At 44.9% G+C, this 21,513-nt stretch overlaps 1 protein-coding gene across 2 annotated transcripts in view, besides 1 other annotated feature; it reads left to right on the top strand.

Moving 5' to 3' along the window:
- The window catches only part of HECTD4 (HECT domain E3 ubiquitin protein ligase 4), a 222,237-nt gene that overhangs the window by 159,003 nt on the left and 41,721 nt on the right, over positions 1–21,513 (top strand). For both annotated transcript variants that reach the window (NM_001388303.1, NM_001109662.4), the window contains exons 45-54: positions 3,940–4,043; positions 6,234–6,395; positions 6,508–6,656; positions 7,058–7,137; positions 10,779–10,942; positions 13,177–13,414; positions 14,799–14,935; positions 15,429–15,555; positions 18,806–18,943; positions 19,657–19,793. In NM_001388303.1, coding sequence (NP_001375232.1) covers positions 3,940–4,043; positions 6,234–6,395; positions 6,508–6,656; positions 7,058–7,137; positions 10,779–10,942; positions 13,177–13,414; positions 14,799–14,935; positions 15,429–15,555; positions 18,806–18,943; positions 19,657–19,793 — 1,436 coding nt within the window. The remainder of the gene's footprint in view (positions 1–3,939; positions 4,044–6,233; positions 6,396–6,507; positions 6,657–7,057; positions 7,138–10,778; positions 10,943–13,176; positions 13,415–14,798; positions 14,936–15,428; positions 15,556–18,805; positions 18,944–19,656; positions 19,794–21,513) is intronic.
- Positions 1,108–1,157: a silencer, noted in NCBI's record as "silent region_4882". NCBI's record gives its function as "represses an Ori minimal core promoter by ATAC-STARR-seq in GM12878 lymphoblastoid cells {active_cell/tissue: GM12878}" and the evidence as "EXISTENCE:reporter gene assay evidence [ECO:0000049][PMID:35858748]".

Genomic DNA, 21,513 nt, shown 5'->3' with positions numbered 1-21,513 from the left:
AAGAAAGAAAAAAAGAAATATTCCTGAGACATTAACTGGATCCCTTGGTTGAAACAGCAGAGGAAGCAGATTTTTGAACCTGAAGAAAAGGCACATAGAAACCAAAAAAGTTCTCAACATTATTTTACCCCCTTGCAGAAGCTAGAATCTCCCAGTTTCAGCTGTTTTCTCTTCTCCCAGCTTCCTAATGTACTTACTCCCTGAGCCAGATATTCTCCAACTTTGGAAGTTCCTCAGAACTCCTGGGAAGCATGATTACAAAGTCAGAATTGTAAGTAGAGGGTGGTCCCAGACAGCAGGCTACCGGAACCATCAGACCTCACTGGAAGAAACAGGGCTCCAAGATTCACCCTGACCCTCCTTACTTTTACCTACCCTTCTCCTGAGCTTTCCTGGCTTCTACACTGAGCAATCCCTCAGCTGAGATCCAGGCTTAGCAGCTACTTCTTTAAAAATATCCCCCTCCCCAGCCTCATGAATGCACCAAATTGATAACCAAAGTCATTCCTTACTCTGGAATCAGCTCTCCTTCCCGAGTTCCCTGTTTTACTTAATATTCAGACTAATTTTGTTTTTGCTTTTGTTTTTGTTTTTTGAGACAGGGTTTCGCTCTGTCACCCAGGCTGGAGTGCAGTGTTGCGATCAAGGCTCACTGCAGCCACAACCTTCTGGGCTCAGGCAATCCTCTTGCTTCAGCCTCCTGAGTAGCTGGGACCACAGGTGCACACCACCATGCCCGGCTAATTTTTTGTTTGTTTTTAAAAGACAGAGTCTCACTCTGTTGCCCAGGCTGGAGTGCGGTGGCACGATCTTAGCTCACTACAATCTCTGCCTCCCAGGTTCAGGTGATTCTCCTGCCTCAGCCTACCGAGTAGCTAGGAATACAGGTGCCTGCCACCACACGTGGATAATTTTTGCATTTTTAGTAGAGACAGGGTTTTACCATGTTGGACAGGCTGTTCTCAAACTCCTGACCTCAAGTGATCCGCCCACTTCAACCTCCCAAAGTGCTGGGATTACAGGTATGAGCCACCACACCCAGTGTAATTTTTTTAATTATTAGAAAAATGAGGGCCAGGTGCTGTGGCTCACGCCTGTAATTTCAGCACTTTGAGAGGCCGAGGTAGGTGGATTACCTGAGGTCAGGGGTTCCAGACCAGCCTGTCCAACTTGGTGAAACCCCATCTCTACTTAAAATACAAAAATTAGGCCAGGTGCAATGGCTCACGCCTGTAATCTCAGCACTTTGGGAGGCCAAGGCAGGCGGATCATGAGGTCAGGAGTTCAAGACTGCCTGGCCAAGATAGTGAAACCCCGTCTCTACTAAAAATACAAAAATTAGCCGGGTGTGGTGGCACGCACCTGTAGTCCCAGCTACTCAGGTGGCTGAGGCAGAAGAATCACTTGAACCCAGGAGGCAGAGGTTGCAGTGAGCCGAGATCACACCACTGCACTCCAGCCTGGGTGACACAGTGAGACTCCGTCTCAAAAAAAAAAAAAAGAAAAATCAGCCGAGCATGGGGGCGAGTGCCTGTAATCCCAGCTACTCAGGAGGCTGAGGCAGGAGAATCGCTTGAACCCAGGAGGCAGAGGTTGTAGTGAGCCGAGATCATGCCGTTGCACTCCAGCCTGGTTGACAGAGCGAGACTCCATCTCAAAAAAAAAAAAAAGAAAAGAAAAAGAAAAACAAGAGACAGCGTCTCCCTATGTTGCCTCTGGGCTCAAGTGATCTTCCCTCCTTAGCCTCCCAAAGTGCTAGGATTACAGGCATGAGAAACCGCACCAGGTTAGTTTTGATGCCCAGATACTGAGTCAAGTATAATGCCTCTTCTTTGTCCCTTCACATCCAATCACTTGCCATATCCAGTTCTTCCTTTAAAATGCTCCTGAGGCTGGGCACAGTGGCTCACATCTGTAATCCCAGCACTTTGAGAGGCCAAGGCAGGCGGAATGCTTGAGCCCAAAAGTTTGAGACCAGCCTGGGCAAAATGGAGGAAACTCCCTATCTACAAAAAAGCCAGGCATGGTGGTAGATACTTGTAGTCCCAGCTACTCGGGAGGCTGAGGTGGGAAGATCACCTGAGTCCAGGAAGTCAGGGCTGCAGTGAGCTGTGATTGCACCACTGCCCTCCAGCCTGAGAGACAGAGTGAGACCCTGTCTCAATAAAATAAAATAAAATGCTCCTGAAATTTATCCCTTTCCTGCCCGTTTTCACTACCAACACTTTAAAACAGGTGCTTTTTTTTAATTGTAATTTTTATATGCTGGGCAACATAGCAAGACCCTGTCTCTACAAAAAATACAAAAAATTAGCCAAGTGTGGTGGCTCACGCCTGTGGTCCCACCTGCTTGGGAGGCTGAGGTGGGAGGATCACTTGAGCCTGGGAAGCAGAGGTTGCAGTGAGCCGAGATTGCGCCATTGCACTCCAGCCTGGGCAACAGAGCGAGAGACCTTGTCTCAAAAAAATAAAAATTTGTAGAGACGGGGTCTCACTATGTCTCCCAGGCTGGTCTCAAACTCCTGGGCTTAAGCAGTCCTCCTGCCTCAGCCTCCCGAAGTGCTGGAATTACAGGCATGCACCACCATGCAGGGCCAGGGCAGGTGCTTCTTATCTCTTGTTTATTTATTTAGAGACAGAGTCTCACTCTGTCACCCAGGCTGGAATGCAGTGGCATGATGTCAGCTCACTGCAACCTCTGCCTCCTGGGTTCAAGCGATTATCATGCCTCACCCTCCCGAGTAGCTGGGATTACAAGCATGTGCCACCATGCCTGGCTAATTTTTGTATTTTTTGTAGACATGGTGGTTTGCTGTGTTGGCCAGGCTGGTTTTGAACTTCTGGCCTCAAGTGATCCGTCTGCCTCAGCCTCCCAAAGTGCTGGGATTACAGGCATGAGCCACCGCACCTGGCTTTCTTAAGATCTAACTTAATGATGTTTTCATTAAGCCTTTCTGGATGCTCGAATGAAGTCACTGCTCATTCACCTGTGCCTCTGCTTGTACCTTATATTACATAATCACATACTGCAGCCCAGCACTGTGCTCTTTACTGTGTGTGTGTGCCTGTGTGTGGTCTGCGTGTGTGCGCATCTTATTTTCCCTCCATAGTAGGGGCTTTGGCTCATATATCTTTGTGTTCTCCAACACTTCGCAGTGTGCCTTGCTCATAGCAGGTGCTCCATAGATATTAGATTTTTAAAAATTAATTTAGGTGATAAGAATAATAGTCTTCATTTATTAGATGATGAGAATAACAACACATTTATTGAATGCCTGTGCTAGGGACTTAGCCAAGGGCTTTACTTAAGTTATTTCATCACATCTTCACAACAGCCCTGTGAGACACAGGTGCTGTTGTTACCCAGTATTGCAAGTGAGATGATAAATACTGAGTACTGGGGCCAGGTTCTGAATCCAGGAGTTGGACTGCACCAGAGGCTAAGCACTTGCCCTCATTGTTGTGATGCTGGGCTACGTTATGGAAGACAAAGATGTCTCGGGGTATTTGTTGTTTTATAAGAATTTCAGGCTGGGCGCGGTGGCTCAAGCCTGTAATCCCAGCACTTTGGGAGGCTGAGGCAGGCGGATCACCTGAGGTCAGGAGTTCGAGACCAGCCTGGCCAACATGGTGAAACCCTGTCTCTACTAAAAATACAAAAATTAACCGGGCGCGGTGGCATGTGCCTGTAATCCCAGCTACTTGGGAGGCTAAGGCAGGAGAATCTCTTGAACCCAGGAGGCAGAGGTTGCAGTAAGCCAGGACCGCGCCACTGCACTCCAGCCTGGGCAATAGAACGAAACTCTGTCTCAAAAAAAAAAAAAAATTCAATGAGCTCTATAAGTGCATTTTATTGTTTTGATGCTGCTCCAAAAGAGTCAGCACCCACTTGGGAGTTGCGGGAGTTGTTTTCACAGATTCAACATGTGCCCTCTACAGGAGAGCGACTTGCAGTTGTGGAGGTACAGTGTGAACGGCTGAGGATGCTCTACCGGGACTGTGCTCGGCCCCCACCACCTCCTTTGCAGGCTGACCGAAGACAGGTGAGCCCTCTGCGGTGCTTCGCGCCTCCTGCAGCCTCCACACACATCACTGAGTAAGGCCAGCAGCAAGTTAAGGACATTTAGAATAAGTGTTTGCAAAGCCGTTTGGAGGTGCATTCTTTTGCAGTGACATGCCCTCTTTGCGGTGCCATGCTCTCATCTTTGAATGTCAGAGCAAATTGAGCTGACATTCTGAATATTGGAAAATTATAGCAGGGGAGCGAAACTTCATAATTTATAAATAGCTTCTTTGTGCTGTCAATAACAAAAAGAAAGCTTTTTTTTTTTAAGTTTAGAGATACAGTCAGTTTCATAACAGAGAACATAAGTGAGTAATTAAAAAACAAAAGTGGGCTGGGCATGGTGGCTCACGCCTGTAATCCCAACATTTTGAGAGGCCATGCTGGGCAGATCACATGAGGCCGGAAGTTTGAGACCAGCCTGGCCAACATGTTGAAACCCATCTCTACTAAAAATACTAAAATTAGCTGGGCATGGTGGTGCACATCAGTAATCCCAGCTACTTGGGAGGCTGAGGCAGGAGAATCGCTTCAACCTGGGAGGTAGAGGTTGCAGTAAGCTGAGATTGTGCCACTGCACTCCAGCCTGGGTGACAGAGCAAGACTCTGTCCAAAAAAAAAAGAGGGGCAAAATGTTAAAAATTGGTACATCTATTAATGTTCTTAGCAGCATTATTCACAACAGCCAAAAAGTGGAAACTGCAAATATACATCAACTGATGAATAAATAAAATATGCAATAGCCATGTAATGGAATATCATTTGTTCATAAAAAGGAATGAGGTATTGATATATGCTACAACATGAATGAACTTGAAATTACAGTAAGTGAAAGAAGCCAGACACAAAAGACCACATCTTATATAAATTCCATTTATATGAAATGTCTAGTGCAGGTAAATCCATAGACATAGAAAATAGATTAGTGATTGCCAGGAGCTGTGGGGGCAAAGGAGAGTTAAGGGAAGAGAGGAACGGCGATTGACTACTAAAGGGTATGGAATTTCCTTCAGTAGGGACAAAAATGTTCTAAAATTAGATCACGATAATGGTTGCACAACTCTGTGAATATATTAAAAACCATTGACTTACCCCATAAATATATACACCTACCATGTACCCATAAATATTAAAAATCAAAACAAAACATTGACTTATACACTTCAAATGGGTGAATTGTGTGTTATATGAATTTTTTTTTTTTTTTTGAAATGGAGTCTCACTCTGTCACCCAGGCTGGAGTGCAGTGGCCTGATCTTAGCTCACTGCAACCTCCACCTCCCGGGTTCAACTGATTCTCCTACCTCAGCCTCCTGAGTAGCTGGGATTCTGCAGCCTGGATGACAGAATGAGACTGTCTCAAAAAATAAAAAAATAATAATAAATTTTTTAAAAGTTGCTTTTATCTGATAGAGAAGCTTGAGATTTTTATGATTAGAATGATTAAAAATAAAACTGAGAAAGCAAGACAACTAACCTTTAAAAAAAGAAAAAGGAAGTGTCACCATGGTTCCCCTGCTTAGCCTTGAGCTGAATATTAAGTCATGCATTTATAAATTGTACTAAAATTTGTTCAGTAACTACATGGGGGCTATAAGAGGATGGGGACCAGACCTTGGAATTGATGATAATGGAAGATAAATAGTGTCTTAAAGGGATAGTAAAAATTTTATTTGGAAAAAAGATACACTTTTTAAAAAATATATGTGCCTGGCTGGGCATGGCGGCTCACGCCTATAATCCTAGCACTTTGGAAGGCCAAGACAGACAGATAGCTTGAGCCCAGGAGTTTGAGATCAGCCTGGGCAATATAGCAAGATCTCATCTTTACAAAAAATACAAAAATTAGCTGGGTGTGGTGATGCACACCTGTAGTCCCAGCTACTGGGGAGGCTGAAGCAAGAGGACCACTTGAGCCCAGGAGCTTGAGGCTGCAGCGAGCTATGATTGCACCACTGCACTCCAGTCTGGGTGATAGGAGTGAGACTCTGTCTCTAAATAAATAAATTGTGTGTGTGTGTGTGTGTGTATGTGTGTGTGTGTGTGTATGTGTGTGTGTGTGTGTATGCCTATATTTTAATACCATCAGATAAAATTTTTTTCTTCTTTGAGAGAGTAAAGGGATTGTGTTTGCAGTTCTACTGAATATGGGTTTTTCTCCCTGATGCAGCCCAAAGAGATTACTTGGAGCCCCTCGCGAGTGTTTCCGCCTGTTCGAGCCTGCATGTTCTCATCTCACCTTACCTCAGTCACCTTCCTGGCTGACCCCAGCGCTGGGGGAGGCCTGCCCCGGGGCACTTTTATCTATGCCACTTCACCACTGCCAGTTCAGGTGAGACATCACATGACACACTGTCTTTTGCATCTTCAGATTTGAAAGAAAAAGCAGGTCTCAGGCCCAGGATTAGCCCTCTGATTGCTGCTCTCTTCTGGCATCTCTTCAGGCCCCGTCTTTTTACTGGGAAATTGAAATCGTTTCCTATGGAGACACCGATGATGACACCGGACCCATAGTTTCCTTTGGCTTCACTACAGAAGCAGAGAAGCGAGATGGGGCTTGGACTAATCCAGTGGGCACTTGTCTTTTCCATAAGTAAGTAAAAGAAGTAGCTCAGTGTGACAGAGAGCAGTAGCCTCCCACAAGGTGTGTATAGGTGTTCAGGAAGTCAAAATAGAGTTCTGTCTTCAAGTGAGTTTGGGGAAAGGAGAGCATTATTTTTCCTTTCTGGAGATTTCCAGTGCACATTAGTAAGATTCCTTCCTAGTTGACCTGTAATTTTTTAAAAATCTGTTTATTTTGCAAATTCTATAACCCTTTATTCTAGGAATACAGTTTGGGAAATATTGGTGTGGGTATTTTAATACTAAAGTGATACTATAATAATCTCACAATGCTGACCACCCCCCCTCCACTTCACCACTTCCCTGTTTGTGTGTTGGCCAGTGAGGCTTATCTTTCTTGTCTTTGACCTCCCTTCTTTGTATTTTTCATAGCAACGGCCGAGCCGTGCACTATAATGGCTCCAGTTTGTTACAGTGGAAGAGCGTTCGCTTAGACGTGACTCTCTCCCCCGGTGAGTGCAGTGGGAGCTTTTCCACCCTGTGTGATTCTGTTGGTCTCAGGTTTGGGTCTAAACAGGTTAAAGTTGAATAAATTTAGCAATTGGAAATGGGCAGTTTGTCATTTAGCAAAAACCAAACACGTCCTTGCTGCCCCCTAGTTTACACCAAACCCCTCACTTTATGAGCCCTCGCCATTAGAGCCTCCATTTGGTAACTCCAGAGTTACGTGTACTTTTGTGCCTTAGTCATTAGATAATTCAGAGATTTTGCTTCTATCTGAAGTTTAGTCTTTCATTAATGAGCAGATAAATAGCTTCAAAAAAAGAGAACTCCACCTCTAGCTGTGAGGCACTGGAGAAGTGCCTTATTGGGCCAGGCACAGTGGCTCACGCCTATAATTCCAGCATTTGGGGAGGCTGAGGCAAGAGGATCACTTGAGCCCAGGAGTTCAAGACCACCCTGGGCAACATGGCGAAACCCCATCACTACAAAAAATACAAAAATTAGTGGTGGCGCATGCCTGTGGTCCCAGCTACTCGAGAGGCTGAGGCAAGAAAATCACTTGAACCCAGAAGGTTGAGGCTGCAGTGAGTTGTGATCATACCACTACACTCCAGCCTGGGTGACAGAGTGAGACCCTATCTCAAAAAACAGAGAGAGAGAGAAATGCCTTATTGGTAGATACAGCCTATAAACATCTGGTCAAGCTTTGACAAATGTTCTGCCTCTATGTTTCAGTCACATAGACAGTCAACTCAATAAAGAACCCTTTCCTCCTTCTTTTTAGTCTCCATGTAAATAACTAGATCTGTATAGTAGTTGAATTAGGATTGGCCCTACGTACTCCAGCTATAGCAAAAAAACAGAACTGTCCTGCTGACATTCGAAGCAGCCGAATATGTTGGTTACTTATTTTTAGACAATGCATCTTAGGCTTCATCTATAATAGAACTTAAATTGAGATACATAGTAAACAATCTGGGATGATGAGATGGGGAATATGAAGTCACTCCAATAGGTAGCCTCTTGTAGCTGCCTGGAGGTTACTTTTGCCATCACTTGTCCTTAAGGGGGCTGCTTGTTAAATTACACTTTTCCTGGGAGCACAGTGCGGTTTTTTTGTGTTTTTTGTTTGTTTGTTTGTTCTTTTGAAGTGGAGTCTTGCTCTGTCACTCAGGCTGGAGTGCAGTGGTGCAATCTCAACTCACTGCAACCTCCGCCTCCTGGGCTCAAGCAATTCTCCTGCCGTAGCCTCCCAAATAGCTGGGATTACAGGTGCCTGCCACCATGCCCAGCTAATTTTTGTATTTTAGTAGAGACGGGGTTTCACCATGCTGGCCAGGCTGGTCTCAAACTTCTGATCTCAAGTAATCTCCCTGCCTAAGCCTCCCAAAGTGCTGGGCTCTCAGGTGTGAGCCACCACACCCGGCCCCTGGCAGCATAGTGTTTTTACTCAAGCCAAGTCATACTATGACTTGGAAATCATTTCAGGGCAAAGTAAAAATTTTTCTCTTACTTCACAAAGCATAACTCAGACATCTCAGCAGAGTACTTACCTAAGTGCTTTCAGCACAAAAGGGTGTATGTCAGGGGGTGGGTGGTAGGCTGGGGGAGCGTTTTCAGTGTTTTTATTTCCTTGTTGCTGTATTTGTTGTTTTATCAGTTGTGGTTTTTGAGAACATTTAGGACTGGACTACGGGCACACAGACTACCCTCTTTCTAGAGAAATGTGTCTGCAAAGGAATAGGAATTAGAACCCAATCTGTCTAACAGAATCTCAACCCCTCTACCAATACATGGGCTTCCATTCATCAACAGATACTTGCTGAGCATCTCCTACCTGCTAGACCCTCTTCTGGCCCCTGGGGATGCCGTGGCGAACAATGACAAGTCCCCAGCCACTGGGAAGCTCCCATTCCTGTGGTACCTAAGCCATAGGAGACTCTGTGATCAAAACAGAACCTTAGAACTTCATGCACTTACTGGAGAGTTTACAAAAGATAAATTATAAGGCCACACGTGCTAGCAGCTTGCTTGAGGCAGCTGATGTAAGAGTGCCGATGCAATTGACAGGCTTCTCTTGGTTCTGTAAGTCCTACCACAGTGTCCAGTCATCTTATCAGATAACAGCCTGGATTCTGTTGGTTATCTTCACTTTTTGCAAAATGCCTTAAATGCTTATAAGTAGGAAACATAATGGAATTTAGTGGTCTATCTTTAGCTTACATTGTAGGTGAAGTTTAAAATTATATATGTATTTTTTTTCTTTTTTATTTTTTTTGAGACTGGGTCTCACTCTGTCACCCAGGCTAGAGTGCAGTGGTGCAATCACAGCTCACTGCAGGCTTGACCCCCTGAGCTCAAGTGACCCTCCCATCTCAGCCTCCTGAGTAACTGGGACCATAGGCACACACTACCATGCCTGACTAATTTCTGTATTTTTTGTAGAGACGAGGTCTCACTGTGTTGCCTAGGCTGGTCTTGAACTCCTGGGCTCAAGCAATCTTCCCACCTTGGCCTCCCAAAATGCTGGGATTACAGGCATGAACCATCATGTCTGGCCTTAAATTTTATATATATATTATATATATATATATATATATGTATATATTTTTTTGAGACGGAGTCTTGCTCTGTCGCCCAGGCTGAAGTGCAGTGGCACAATCTTGGCTCACTGCAACCTCCGCCTCCCGGGTTCACGCCATTCTTCTGCCTCAGCCTCCCAAGTAGCTGGGACTACAGGTGCCTGCCACCTAGCCCGGCGAAATTTTTGTATTTTTAGTAGAGACAGGGTTTCACCGTGTTAGCCAGGATGGACTCGATCTCCTGACCTTGTGATCCACCCACCTCGGCCTCCCAAAGTGCTGGGATTACAGGCTTGAGCCACTGTGCCCGGCCTAAATTATATATTTTTAGGCCATTTCTGAATATTCACCGGAGATGATATTACTAATACCTTTTTACTTATTCGTCATAAGTAATCCTCCATGTGTCAAAAGAGAAAAACTTCATTTTTCTATTTTAAAAATAGTACCTAGTGTTTTTCATTTTTTTCTTGCCTGCCAGGAAAATAAAGGCTAAATTTAATATGTAATTGCGGTAACTAATTTAACACAGACACTAGGCATTTTCCTTCTAAAAATTCTGACAGCTTCTTTAAATGGGTTGTTTCTGTTATGTTACTTTATATCTAAATACAAAAACTTAGGCTGGGCGTGGTGGCTCACGACTGTAATTCCAGCACTTTGAGAGGCCGAGGCAGGTGGATTGCCTGAGGTCAACAGTTCGAGACCAGTCTGGCCAACATGGCAAAACCCTGTCTCTACTAAAAATACAAAAATTAACTGGGCGTGCTTGTAGGCGCCTGTAATCCCAGCTACTCTGGAGGCTGAGGCAGGAAAATTGCTTGAACCTGGGAGGCAGAGGTTGCAGTGAGCCGAGATGGCACCACTGTACTCCAGCCTGGGCAACAGAGTGAGACTCCGTCTCAATAAATAAATAAATAAATAAATAACAATAACTTCATGTCCATTTCAGAAGTAAATGAGAGCATAAATAGTCTGTGATGTGTAGGGTGACACTCCGGTTGCAAATTTAAAATTTACTTAATAAAAGGGAGAAAATATGTTTTCCTTCCCGTTCTCTGCTATAGGTGACGTGGCAGGAATTGGCTGGGAGAGAACTGAGGGGACTCCACCTCCTCCGGGACAGCCAGCCAAGGGCCGGGTGTACTTCACATACTGCGGGCAGCGCCTCTCACCATATCTTGAAGACGTCTCTGGTGGCATGTGGCCAGTGGTTCACATTCAGAAAAAGGCAGGTTACCTTGTTGGGAAAGGAAAACAAATTCTCCTTCATCACCTGTTCCTGTTAGACATGGAAAAATGAAAGGGAGCAAACGGGCCCTCATTGTACATAATATTGGTACACAATGGCAGAGGAAGGGCAGAGCCAGCTTGAGCAAGTGTGTGTCTTCCTTTGTGTTGACCCCACAGTCTTAGCTTGAACAATGCTATATCAGGAACTTAGTGCTTCATTGCCTTGACATTTTTTTAGCAACCTTTCCCAGACAACAATGCAAGGAACACTAGAGTTCTTTCAAATGTCAGTAAAATGATTATGTGATTAAGTAAATTTTGAAAGTGATTCTCTTTGGTTGCTCAGTATGTCAGAAACTTGGAGAGAACCTTCGGTAAAGATTTGTAAGTTCAACTTAGTTAACCAGCATCCTCATACATATTTAATGATGGAACTCTTGTTTCTTAAGGGGCATCTATTAATATCCAATGTTCTGGAACATTATTACTTACTACATGCTGGTAGCTCCCACATCCATATCTCTATCCCAGACCTTTCCCTAAACTCCATGCTCACATACCCAGCAGCCTGGGCAGCATCTCTAAAGAGATGCCTTATTGGCATGTCAAGGTTAACGTGACCAAGACTTAGCCTAACTCTCCCCCAAACCCAAAGCTGCCACTTCCCCAGTCTTCTTCATCTCAGGAAATGGCAGCTCCATGCTTGTAGTTGCTAAGGCCAAAAACCTTGATATTCTCCTTGACTCCTCTTTTTTCTTCTGCTCCACATCCAACCTGTCAGCAGATCTTGGTTCTAACCTTCAAAATGTATCTAGAATCTGACCCCTTCTCCCATTCTTCCATCAACAACCCGGCCCTGCCACCATCTTCCCTTGGGTAGCTCATTACAGTGTTCTGACTCCTCTCCCAGTCCCCATTCTTGCCCGTTCACGTCTTATCTTTTTTTTTTTTTTCCCCCTTCAGGACATCTCTAAGGTAATACATGTCTTTTCAACCCAGCAACCACAGTGATCTTTTCAAGATGTTAGTTGGAATGTCACTATCCAGTTAGTGGCTTCTCGTGTCATGCATTTTAAAGGCCCAAGTCTTTATAATGACTTACAAGATGCCAGGTGTGGTGGTGCCAGAGTAGTCCCCGCTGCTCTGGAGGCTGAGTTGGGAGTATCACTTGAGCCCAGGAGTTCCAGGCTGCAATGCGTTATGATTGCACCTATGAATAGTCAGTTGTACTCCAGCCTAGGCAACATAGTGAGACTCCAGATGTGTACCACCACACTGGGCTAATTTTTGTATTTTTAGTAGAAATGAGGTTTCACCATGTTGGCTAGGCTGGTCTTGAACTCCTGACCTCATGATCCGCCCACCTCGGCCTCCCAAAGTGCTGGGATTACAGGCAAGAGCTACTGCATCCGGCCAAGACTCCGTCTTTTAAAAAAATAACCTATAAGGTCCTATAGGATCTGGCCCTGTACCATGTGTCTGATACCATCTTTTATCTCTGTATTTGTTGAGTGAATTAATGATGCCAATAATTTAAAGCAGCATTTCTCAGCCTGTTCCATTCATGCATTCAACAAATATTTATTGAATACTTACTCTATGTCAAGCACTATGCTGAGCTCTGGATATATAGCAGTGAACAAAACAGATATGATCTCTGTCTTCATTGGGTTATGATCAGTTGGAGGAATCAATCAGACAGTAGTCAAATAATCACATAAATATGCATGTGTATGTATGTAATCACAGACTAGTAAATGCTGTGAATGAGAATCACAGACTTCCTAGAAGCAAGTGGCAGGCACATCTGATCTTGTATCTCTTAATCTGAAGAAGTGCTGCTTGAGCCAGGTCTGGAATATTAGCTGGTCTTAACTAGGCAAAGTTGGACAAAAGAATATTCCAGGTGGAAGGAACAGCATGGGTGCTGGTGTCAGGTAGAGAGGAGCAGTGTCAGGTAGAGAGGAGCAGTGTTGGAAACAAGAGAGGTCAATGTGTTTGAGCAGCAAAGTACATGAGAGTGTGAGGTGAGGGACAGGGAGGCAGGGCTGGCTGTACAGGGCTCTGAGCACAGGTGTGCTCAGTCCCTCCAGCCCCCACCTGGTTTCTCATGCCAGCACACACCTCGGGCTATTCTTCCAAGGTGACGTTTAGTGAGCTGCGCCTTGGGCTCTTGCAGAAATAAAAATAAACGTAAGTCTTTCCAAATCCTTCATTTGGTCTCCTTTCCAGAACACCAAAACCCGAGCTAACTTTGGCTCCCGGCCGTTTGCCTACGCGGAAGGGCAGGCCCACCGCAATGCTGCTGACCTGTGCACTGACCTAGCAGAAGAGATCAGCGCTAACTTTGAGGCCCTGCCTTTCGCCATGGCATCTGACAGTGACAATGATGCTGGCACCAGTATTGCATCAGACCCAGGCACTCATGGGCCACCATGCCGGATTGCTGCCGTGGCCACCGCTCAGCAACGTAAGTCACCTCCTGGAACTTACTGCCTCCATGGCTTCCTGAGACCATGAATGTTATGAATTCCATAAACCCATTGCACTTGAGCATCCTCATTACAATCAGGAGTTGCAAACTCACGTGCCCATTGGTAATGGGGTCACAGGCCTGGTGAAAGAAGGTGGGGAGCAGGATGAAGCACAGCAGACCAGAAAGTTCATCCCCATTTCCAGGAAGCCTGCTATGCCTTAGGGCAGCCAGTGCAAGACCACTAGAGCCCCAGGACTTTGTATGAAGTCTCCTCATGTCACAGTGTTACTCATTTTCAAAAATTGTCCTAAAACCAAGGTAATCACAGAATAATAAAATGCTAGGCAATGGATATATAGGCGTGCACTAAAAACTTTTATGATGGTCAGGTGAGGTGGCTCATGCCTGTAATGCCAGCACTTTGGGAGGCCGAGGTGGGCAGATCACCTAAGGTTGGGAGTTCGAGACCAGCCTGACCAGCATGGAGAAACCCCGTCTCTACTAAAAATACAAAATTAGCTGGGGGTGGTGGCGTGTGCCTGTAATCCCCAACTACTCAGGAGGCTGAGGCAGAAGAATTGCTTGAACCGGGAGGTGGAGGTTGCAGTGAGTTGAGATCGTGCCATTGCACTCCAGCCTGGGCAATAAGAGCGAAACTCCATCTCAAAAAAAAAAAAAAAACTTTTATGATTACTTGTAACAATTTTTTCATAAAATTAAATAAAACAGCTCACCAAAGTAAGGATGTCTGCAGGCCATATTTGGCCCATTGGATACTAGTTTGCAAACTGTTTTAAGATTCTGTTTAGGGCCAGACACTGTGGCTCACATCTATAATCCCAACACTGGGAAGTCAAGGAAGGAGGATAGCTTGAGCCCAGGAGTTTGAGACCAACCTAGGCAACACAGTGAGACCCTGTCTCTACAAAAAAATTTAAAAAATAGCCAGGTGTGGTGGCACACACCTGTAGTCCCAGCCACTCAGGAGGTTGAGGTGGGAGGATCGCTGGAGCCCAGGAGGTTTAGCTGCAGTGACCTATCTTTGCACCACTGCTTGCCAGCCTAGGCAACAGAGTGAGCTTCTGTCTCAAAAAAAAAAAAAAAAAAAAAAAAAAGCCTGTTTAGTTCTATCTATAGTGAAGGACTTTCTAAAGTCTTCTCTGAATTGAATGAATTATACTCATAAAAACTATTTTAGGATTCAGGGTAATTATAGATAATTAGTTATTCCTAGACTCTGTGATTTAACATTCCTCAGTGTACTAGGAGTCTTCCTATCATGCAAATTAAGATAATCTGGTTTGTCTAAGGGTGAGAAGTTAAGGATTTTTCTAGCCTGCTCTTGTTTAGAATTCGCTGTCCTTGTGCTCTGTTACAGAATATGATAGTGACACCTCCTGTCATTATAAAGTCGAGCTCAGCTATGAGAATTTCATCACCTCTGGCCCAGACCCTCACCCGCCTCCCATTGCAGATGATGAAAGCGATGATGATGACGATGATGACATCCCTCAGGTAAGAGACCCACAGGCTTAGATCAGGACTCAGCAGCATTTGCTTAGCTCCCTAGTGACTAGGACAAGCCTGGAGGAGTGATTTTGATGTGAGAGTGCAAAGCTGGTTTTGTTACTCTCAGTGACATCATTGTGCTTGAACAGTGACCTTAGAGTGTTAATTTTTCTAAACCCCTATCAATAGCGATATCCGTTGGGCCATTTTGCCCGGTGAAGATCCAGAAACTGGAGAAGTGAAGTGCTTTGCAATAGTTCAGAATCCTGTGAAAGTGCTTCTATGGCTTCTTTAGAGGGAAACGAAGAGCTTGCCCTAGTGTTGCTGTTCCCTGCCCTGGCATCTGGGGGTGTATCTAGTACAGGGGTCTATGTCTGATCTTTCTATTACTGGCATTTAAGTGGGGTGAAGACCTCAGGGTGAGGGCTGTAAGTTAGGGAAACAGTGATGCCTGCACCAGATATTCCTTCTCTGTTCATGAGGTTCCTTCTGCTTCCAGGAGGACCACTACGCCCTGCTGGTGAAAGCATGGGAGACCAAGGTTTTTCCTACCATCCGAAGACGCTTCCGCAATGAAGCAGAGCGGAAATCGGGCCTGGACCAGATAAAGGGGGCCTTACAACTAGGTCTGGTACTTTTTGTTCTGCTAAGGAGGTTACTTCATGACTTGAAGTGAGGAGCTGGATGAAAATCAGAATGTAAATCAGGAGAGACTCATCTAATGTTGCACCATACTTAACAGTGTCTTTGACCTTACCTTTAGTGAACTCTGATCTTTTGTTTTCATTGCTGGACTTTGATTTGCTTGTCAATTTAGCTGAATATTTTGGGTTGATGGGCTGCTGCAGTGAAGCTGGAGTGGTTATACTGGGAAACTCTGTGGTCTGGTGGTTAACAGTTCACATCTGAAGTCATACTGTTTACCAGCTGTGTGGACTTGAGAAAATTACTTAACATCTCTGGGCTTTCCCCATCTTTAAAATGGAATATGTGCTCTGCAAGGTTGATTTGGCAGTCTCTCACTGTTCCCTGATTCCTGCTTATTAAACAGTATTTTTGGCCGGCCATGGTGCTCACGCCTGTAATCCCAGCACTTTAGGAGGCTGAGGTGGGTGGATCACCTGAGGTCAGGAGTTCGAGAGCAGCCTGGCCAACATGGCGAAACCCCATCTCTACTAAAAATGCAAAATTAGCTGGGTGTGGTGGCACACGCCTGTAGTCCAAGCTACTCCGGTGGCTGAGACAGGAGAATCGCTTGAACCCAGGAGGCAGAAGCGGCAGTGAGCCGAGATTGTGCCACTGCACTCCAGCCTGGGCAAGATAGAACAAGAGTCTGTCTCAAATACATACATACATACATACATACATACATACATACATACACACACACACATATACATAAACAAACAGTATTTTTTTTCTCATACCCACTGTTCCTTTTGAAAACATTGCAAAGATTATTGTTCCCTAATCTTCTAATCTTAGGCCACAATTTCTTGTTTATTCTAACACTTAATTCCAAAAGCGTCTGTCTCTAATCACAGCACCCTTTTAAACTCTGCTCAGAAAATTGCCATGCTTTTTCCTTACAGTAAGACCAGTGAATAAAAGAATGGTAGATAGGTGGGATGGAGTTAGGCCTTGTGTAAAAAAAGCAGATTCTAGGCCAGGCATAGTGGCTCACGCCTGTAATCCCAGGACTTTGGGAAGCCAAGGCAGGCGGATCATGAGGTCAGGAGATTGAGACCATCCTGGCTAACACGGTGAAACCCCGTCTCTACTAAAAATACAAAAAATTAGCCAGGCATGGTGGCAGGCACCTGTAGTCCCAGTTACTCGGAAGGCTGAGGCAGGAGAATGGCAGGAACCCGGGAGGCAGAGCTTGCAGTGATCAGAGATCACGCCACTGCACTCCAGCCTGGGCAACAGAGCCAGACTCCGTCTCAAAAAAAAAAAAAAAAAAAAAGCAGATTCTATCAACACCCACTTTTTTTATTATTTTTTTGAGAGAGTCTCGCTCTATATTAACTGGGCTGGAGTACAGTGGTGCAATCATAGCTCATTGCAGCCTCAAACTCTTGGGCTCAAGAGATCCTCCTGCTTCAGCTTCCCGAGTACCTGGGACTACAGGCACTCACTACCAAGCCTGGCTAATTTTTTTATTTTTTGTAGTGACAGGGTGTTGCTATATCCCTCAGGGTGGTCTTGAACTCCTGGCTTCAAACAGTCTTCCCACCCGGGCCTCCAAAGTGCTGGGATTACAGGTGTGAGCCACTGCCCCTGACCAACACCTGCCCTTTCACCCACAACGTCCTGGGCACTGTGGGGCCTAAGGCAACAACAGGATATGGAGGAATTGTGCCCATTTTGCTTTCCTCCCATAATGCTTTTCCTCCCAGGTCTTTGGACATTTAATTACTTGGTTTATTAATTAATAGTAGCTGTTGCTATCAAACATAATCGTATGTTCTTTCTCTGGGAAGAAAGAGCAATCTCAATAAGTGGATAGAAGAAGCTCATATAGCCTTCTCTCTTTCTTAAACAAGCAACATGTGTTTATTGCAGTAAAAATCAAACAGTACAAAAATATAGAGAGAAATAAACCTGGCCAGGCACGGTGGCTCACACCTGTAATCTCAGCACTTTGGAAGGCCAAGGCAGGCGGATCACTTGAGGTCAGGAGTTTTGAGACCAGCCTAGGCAACATGGTGAACCCCCATCTCTACTAAAAATACAAAAATATTAGCCGAGTGTGGTAGTGCGCGCCTGTAATCCCAACTACTTGAGAGGCTGAAGCATGAGAATCACTTGAGCTGGGAGATGGAAGTTGCAGTGAGCCGAGATTGCACCACTGCACTCCAGCCTGGGCGGCAGAGCAAGACTCTGTCTCAAAAAAAAAAGAAAAAGAAAAAGAAACGTTACCCTCACTTTCTTCTTCCTCTCCATTTGTCCTGTAATTTGTTATTTTGAGTTAACGAAAATGAAATAACTGCAAAATAATGGACCATTTTTAGTCATTTTGTACTGATGAACACTTCGGTTTTTTCTACTTTTTTGCTATCTACCAACAGTGCTACTTGCTCTGTCTCCCAGGCTAGAGTGCAATGGTGCAATCTCAGCTCACTGCAACCTCCACCTCCCGGGTTCAAACAGTTCTCCTGCCTCAGCCTCCCGAGTGGCTGGGATTACAGGCACCTGCTACCATGCCCAGCTAATTTGTATTTTTAATAGAGACGGGGTTTTGCCATGTTGGCCAGGCTGGTCTCAAACTCCTGACCTCAGGTGATCCACCCACCTCGGCCTCCCAAAGTGTTGGGATTATAGGCGTGAGCCACTACGCCTGGCCATTTTTTTTTTTTTTTTTTTTGAGATGGAGTCTTTCCCTGTCATTGAGGCTGGAGTGCAGTGGCGCCAGCTTGGCTCACTGCAACCTCTGTCTCCTGGGTTCAAGCAATTCTCCTGCCTCAACCTCCCGAGTAGCTGGGTTTACAGGCGCCTGCCACCATGCCTGGCTAATTTTTGTATTTTTAGTAGAGACGGGGTTTCACCATGTTGGTCAGGCTGGTCTTGAACTCCTGGCCTCAAGTAATCTACCTGCCTCAGCCTCCCAACGTGCTGGGATTACAGGTGTGAGCCACTGTGCCTGGCCTTAGTGCTTATATTTCTGTGGAAGAGATTTGAGACATTCCTAAAAGTAGTACATTTAGTATTCCAAACATGGTAGATACTGCACAATTTCCTTCGCCAAAGGGTTATGTACTTTCATAAACAATGTTTGAAAGATTCCCTTATCATTTCACTCTACATGTAAGTCAGTGTCATGGTTGATCTGTGTGTACTCTTTGGGGAGTTACCCTGTGCTGTTATATTTTTTAGGTATGGTGGATATTGCCCGACAGACGGTTGAATTTCTCTACGAAGAGAATGGTGGCATCCCAAGAGACCTTTATCTTCCCACCATTGAAGACATTAAAGACGAAGCAAACAAGTTCACAATTGATAAAGTTCGAAAAGGTTTTGCTTTCCTCCTTACTCGACCTATGAAATTTCCTATGAAATGAGAGGTTGAATTTTCCTTAATGTGCACAAGCAGCTGGTGGTTCTCCTAGGGTGACTCTCCTTACTCCGACTGGGCTAACCTCTTCCACACCGCCCCATGTGAAGCCCTAGGGCAACCCTGGTGGGGCCCTTCCCACTTCCCAGAACTCAGTAGCATGAGCTGAGTGGGGCAGGCAGCTGCACAAGAAAAGAGGTAGGGCCTGGGCTCCATCTCTACTAAAAACATAGAAAATAGCTGGGCCTGGTGGCGCACGCCTGTAATCCCAGCTACTCTAGAGGCTGAGGCAGGAGAATCACTTGAACCTGGGAGGCGGAGGTTGCAGTGAGCCGAGATCACACCACTGCACTCCAGCCTGGGCCACAGAGCAAGGCTCTGTCTCAAAAAACAAACAAAAAATTCTTTGCCCATTTTAAACTGGCTTATTTGTCTTTTTATTCTTCAATTGTAAGAGCTTTTACAACGTTCTATTATATTACCTTCCAGACTGAGTTGTGTTCTTGCTTGGTTATAACAAAACTGAGGGTTCTGTTAAAGCCCGTAGAGCTATTTTATTTTATTTTATTTTATTATTTTATGTTTATCTGGAGAGCTATTTTAGATGCTAAATGTAAGAACCCAGATGCAGTGGTACTTTTTCCTGAAAAACTTCTCCCTCTACACTCCTCAGGTCTCACAGTAGTAACCCGCTCTCCAGACAGCAATAATGTAGCCAGCAGTGCTGTTGGAACTGCTCTGCCAAAATTTGCCATCCGAGGGATGCTGAAAACCTTTGGGCTTCATGGAGTCGTCTTAGATGTTGATTCAGTGAGTGAACAGCCATTCTGATTAATAAGCTATTTTATATATACTGAGGCTGTCATACCCAGATTCCCAGGTACCTTAAAAAGTGATTATACAGATGAGTTTCTCTTCAAATCAGGGACGAAGACACAAAGCAAAAATGCTCTAATGCCAATTGACTTGCCTGAGCTTTCCTCAGGGACTCAGATCAGGGCTGGCAGTAGATGGTAGGCTCTCCAGTCTCAAAGCTGTGGCCGCCTTCAGACCACACCACCTCTACCATTATTTTCTGTCCGACATGTTCAAACTGTTCCTGCATTATATCTACCCAAGTTCCCAGGGAAAAGTCCCCATTGTCCTTGATGAATGGATGATCTGTCATTGCCATGATGGTCATACAGACACAAATCAAAGAAATAGGCTGGGCGTGGGGCTCACACCTGTAATCCCAGCACTTTGGGAGGCCGAGGAAGGAGGATTACCTGAGCCCAGGAGTTCGAGACCAGCCTGGGCAACATGGCGAGACCCTGTCTCTACAAAAAATTAGCTAGTCATGGTGGGCATATCTGTAGTCCCAGCTATGTGGGAGGCTAAGGTGGGAGGATCGTTTCAGCCTGGGAGGTCAAGGCTGCAGTGAGCTGTGATGGCGTCAGTGTTCTCCAGCCTGGGCAACAGAGTGAGTCCCTGTCTCCAAAGGAAAAAAAAAAGAAAAAAGTTTTGTCATTTTGATCACATCATCTCACTGATTCTCTCAGCCTCAATTTCCCTATCTGTAAAATGAGTGTATTAAACTGGATCAGTGGTTTCCTCCTCCATTTTGCAAAGCTCTCTCCTAGGACACAGCTAGGACTTTTCGGGAAGGGGGCAGAGTGAGAGAGGACAAGGCCAAAGCTTTCTTTTGAAAAGAGACTCCTGTTTGAAAGCCATGACTATGTGATTCTGAGGTTGCATGCCCATCCTTGTATTTGAGAAGCTTCCTATGCAGGAAAAACTGGTGAAATAATATACAGATCAAGCCTGAGAGTCTCTGATAAAATATTAATATCATCAATCACTGTATAGATATAAACTTTGGTATCTGTCTAGAGAGAGATACAGATGATATTAGGTTCCATTAATGCTTTGAAATTTACCTTGAAAAATTTACATCTTTAGGCCAGATGTGGTGGCTCATGCCTGTAATCCCAGCACTTTGGGAGGCCGAGGCAGGTGGATCACTTGAGGTCAGGAGCTTGAGACTAGCCTAGCCAACATAATGAAACCCCATCTCTACTAAAAATGCAAAAATTAGCTGGGCATGGTGGCACGAACCTGTAGTCCTAGCTACTTGGGAGGCCGAGGCAGGAGAATTGCTTGAACCCCAGAGACAGAGGTTGCGGTGAGCCGAGATCATGCCATGGCACTCCAACCTGGGCAACAGAGCAAGACACTGTCTCAAAAAAAAAAAAAATTACATCATCTGACTCTATTTTGTCAGAATGTAATTTAACTCATTAGATTTTTTTAGAGGGGCTATTGACTGGTGGTCACTGAGGTGAACTTTCAAATGGAAAATTCCATCAATAATACTGTTAATCTCCCACTGCCTTCTGATGCAAACTTCTGACTCTGATTGTAAGAAAATACATTAGGATGATATTTTTGAGCAATAGAAATGTGTGAAAATAAAAATTAGAAAAATAGAATTGTCCTTATTATAATCATTCTGTTATTTCTAAGGTAATTTCTCTCCAGTTTAATAATC

The sequence above is a fragment of the Homo sapiens genome, chromosome 12, assembly GCF_000001405.40.
Source record: "Homo sapiens chromosome 12, GRCh38.p14 Primary Assembly".
Lineage (NCBI taxonomy): Eukaryota > Metazoa > Chordata > Mammalia > Primates > Hominidae > Homo > Homo sapiens.
Note: the sequence above shows the minus strand (reverse complement) of the source record. Positions and strands in the feature narration are given on the sequence as shown.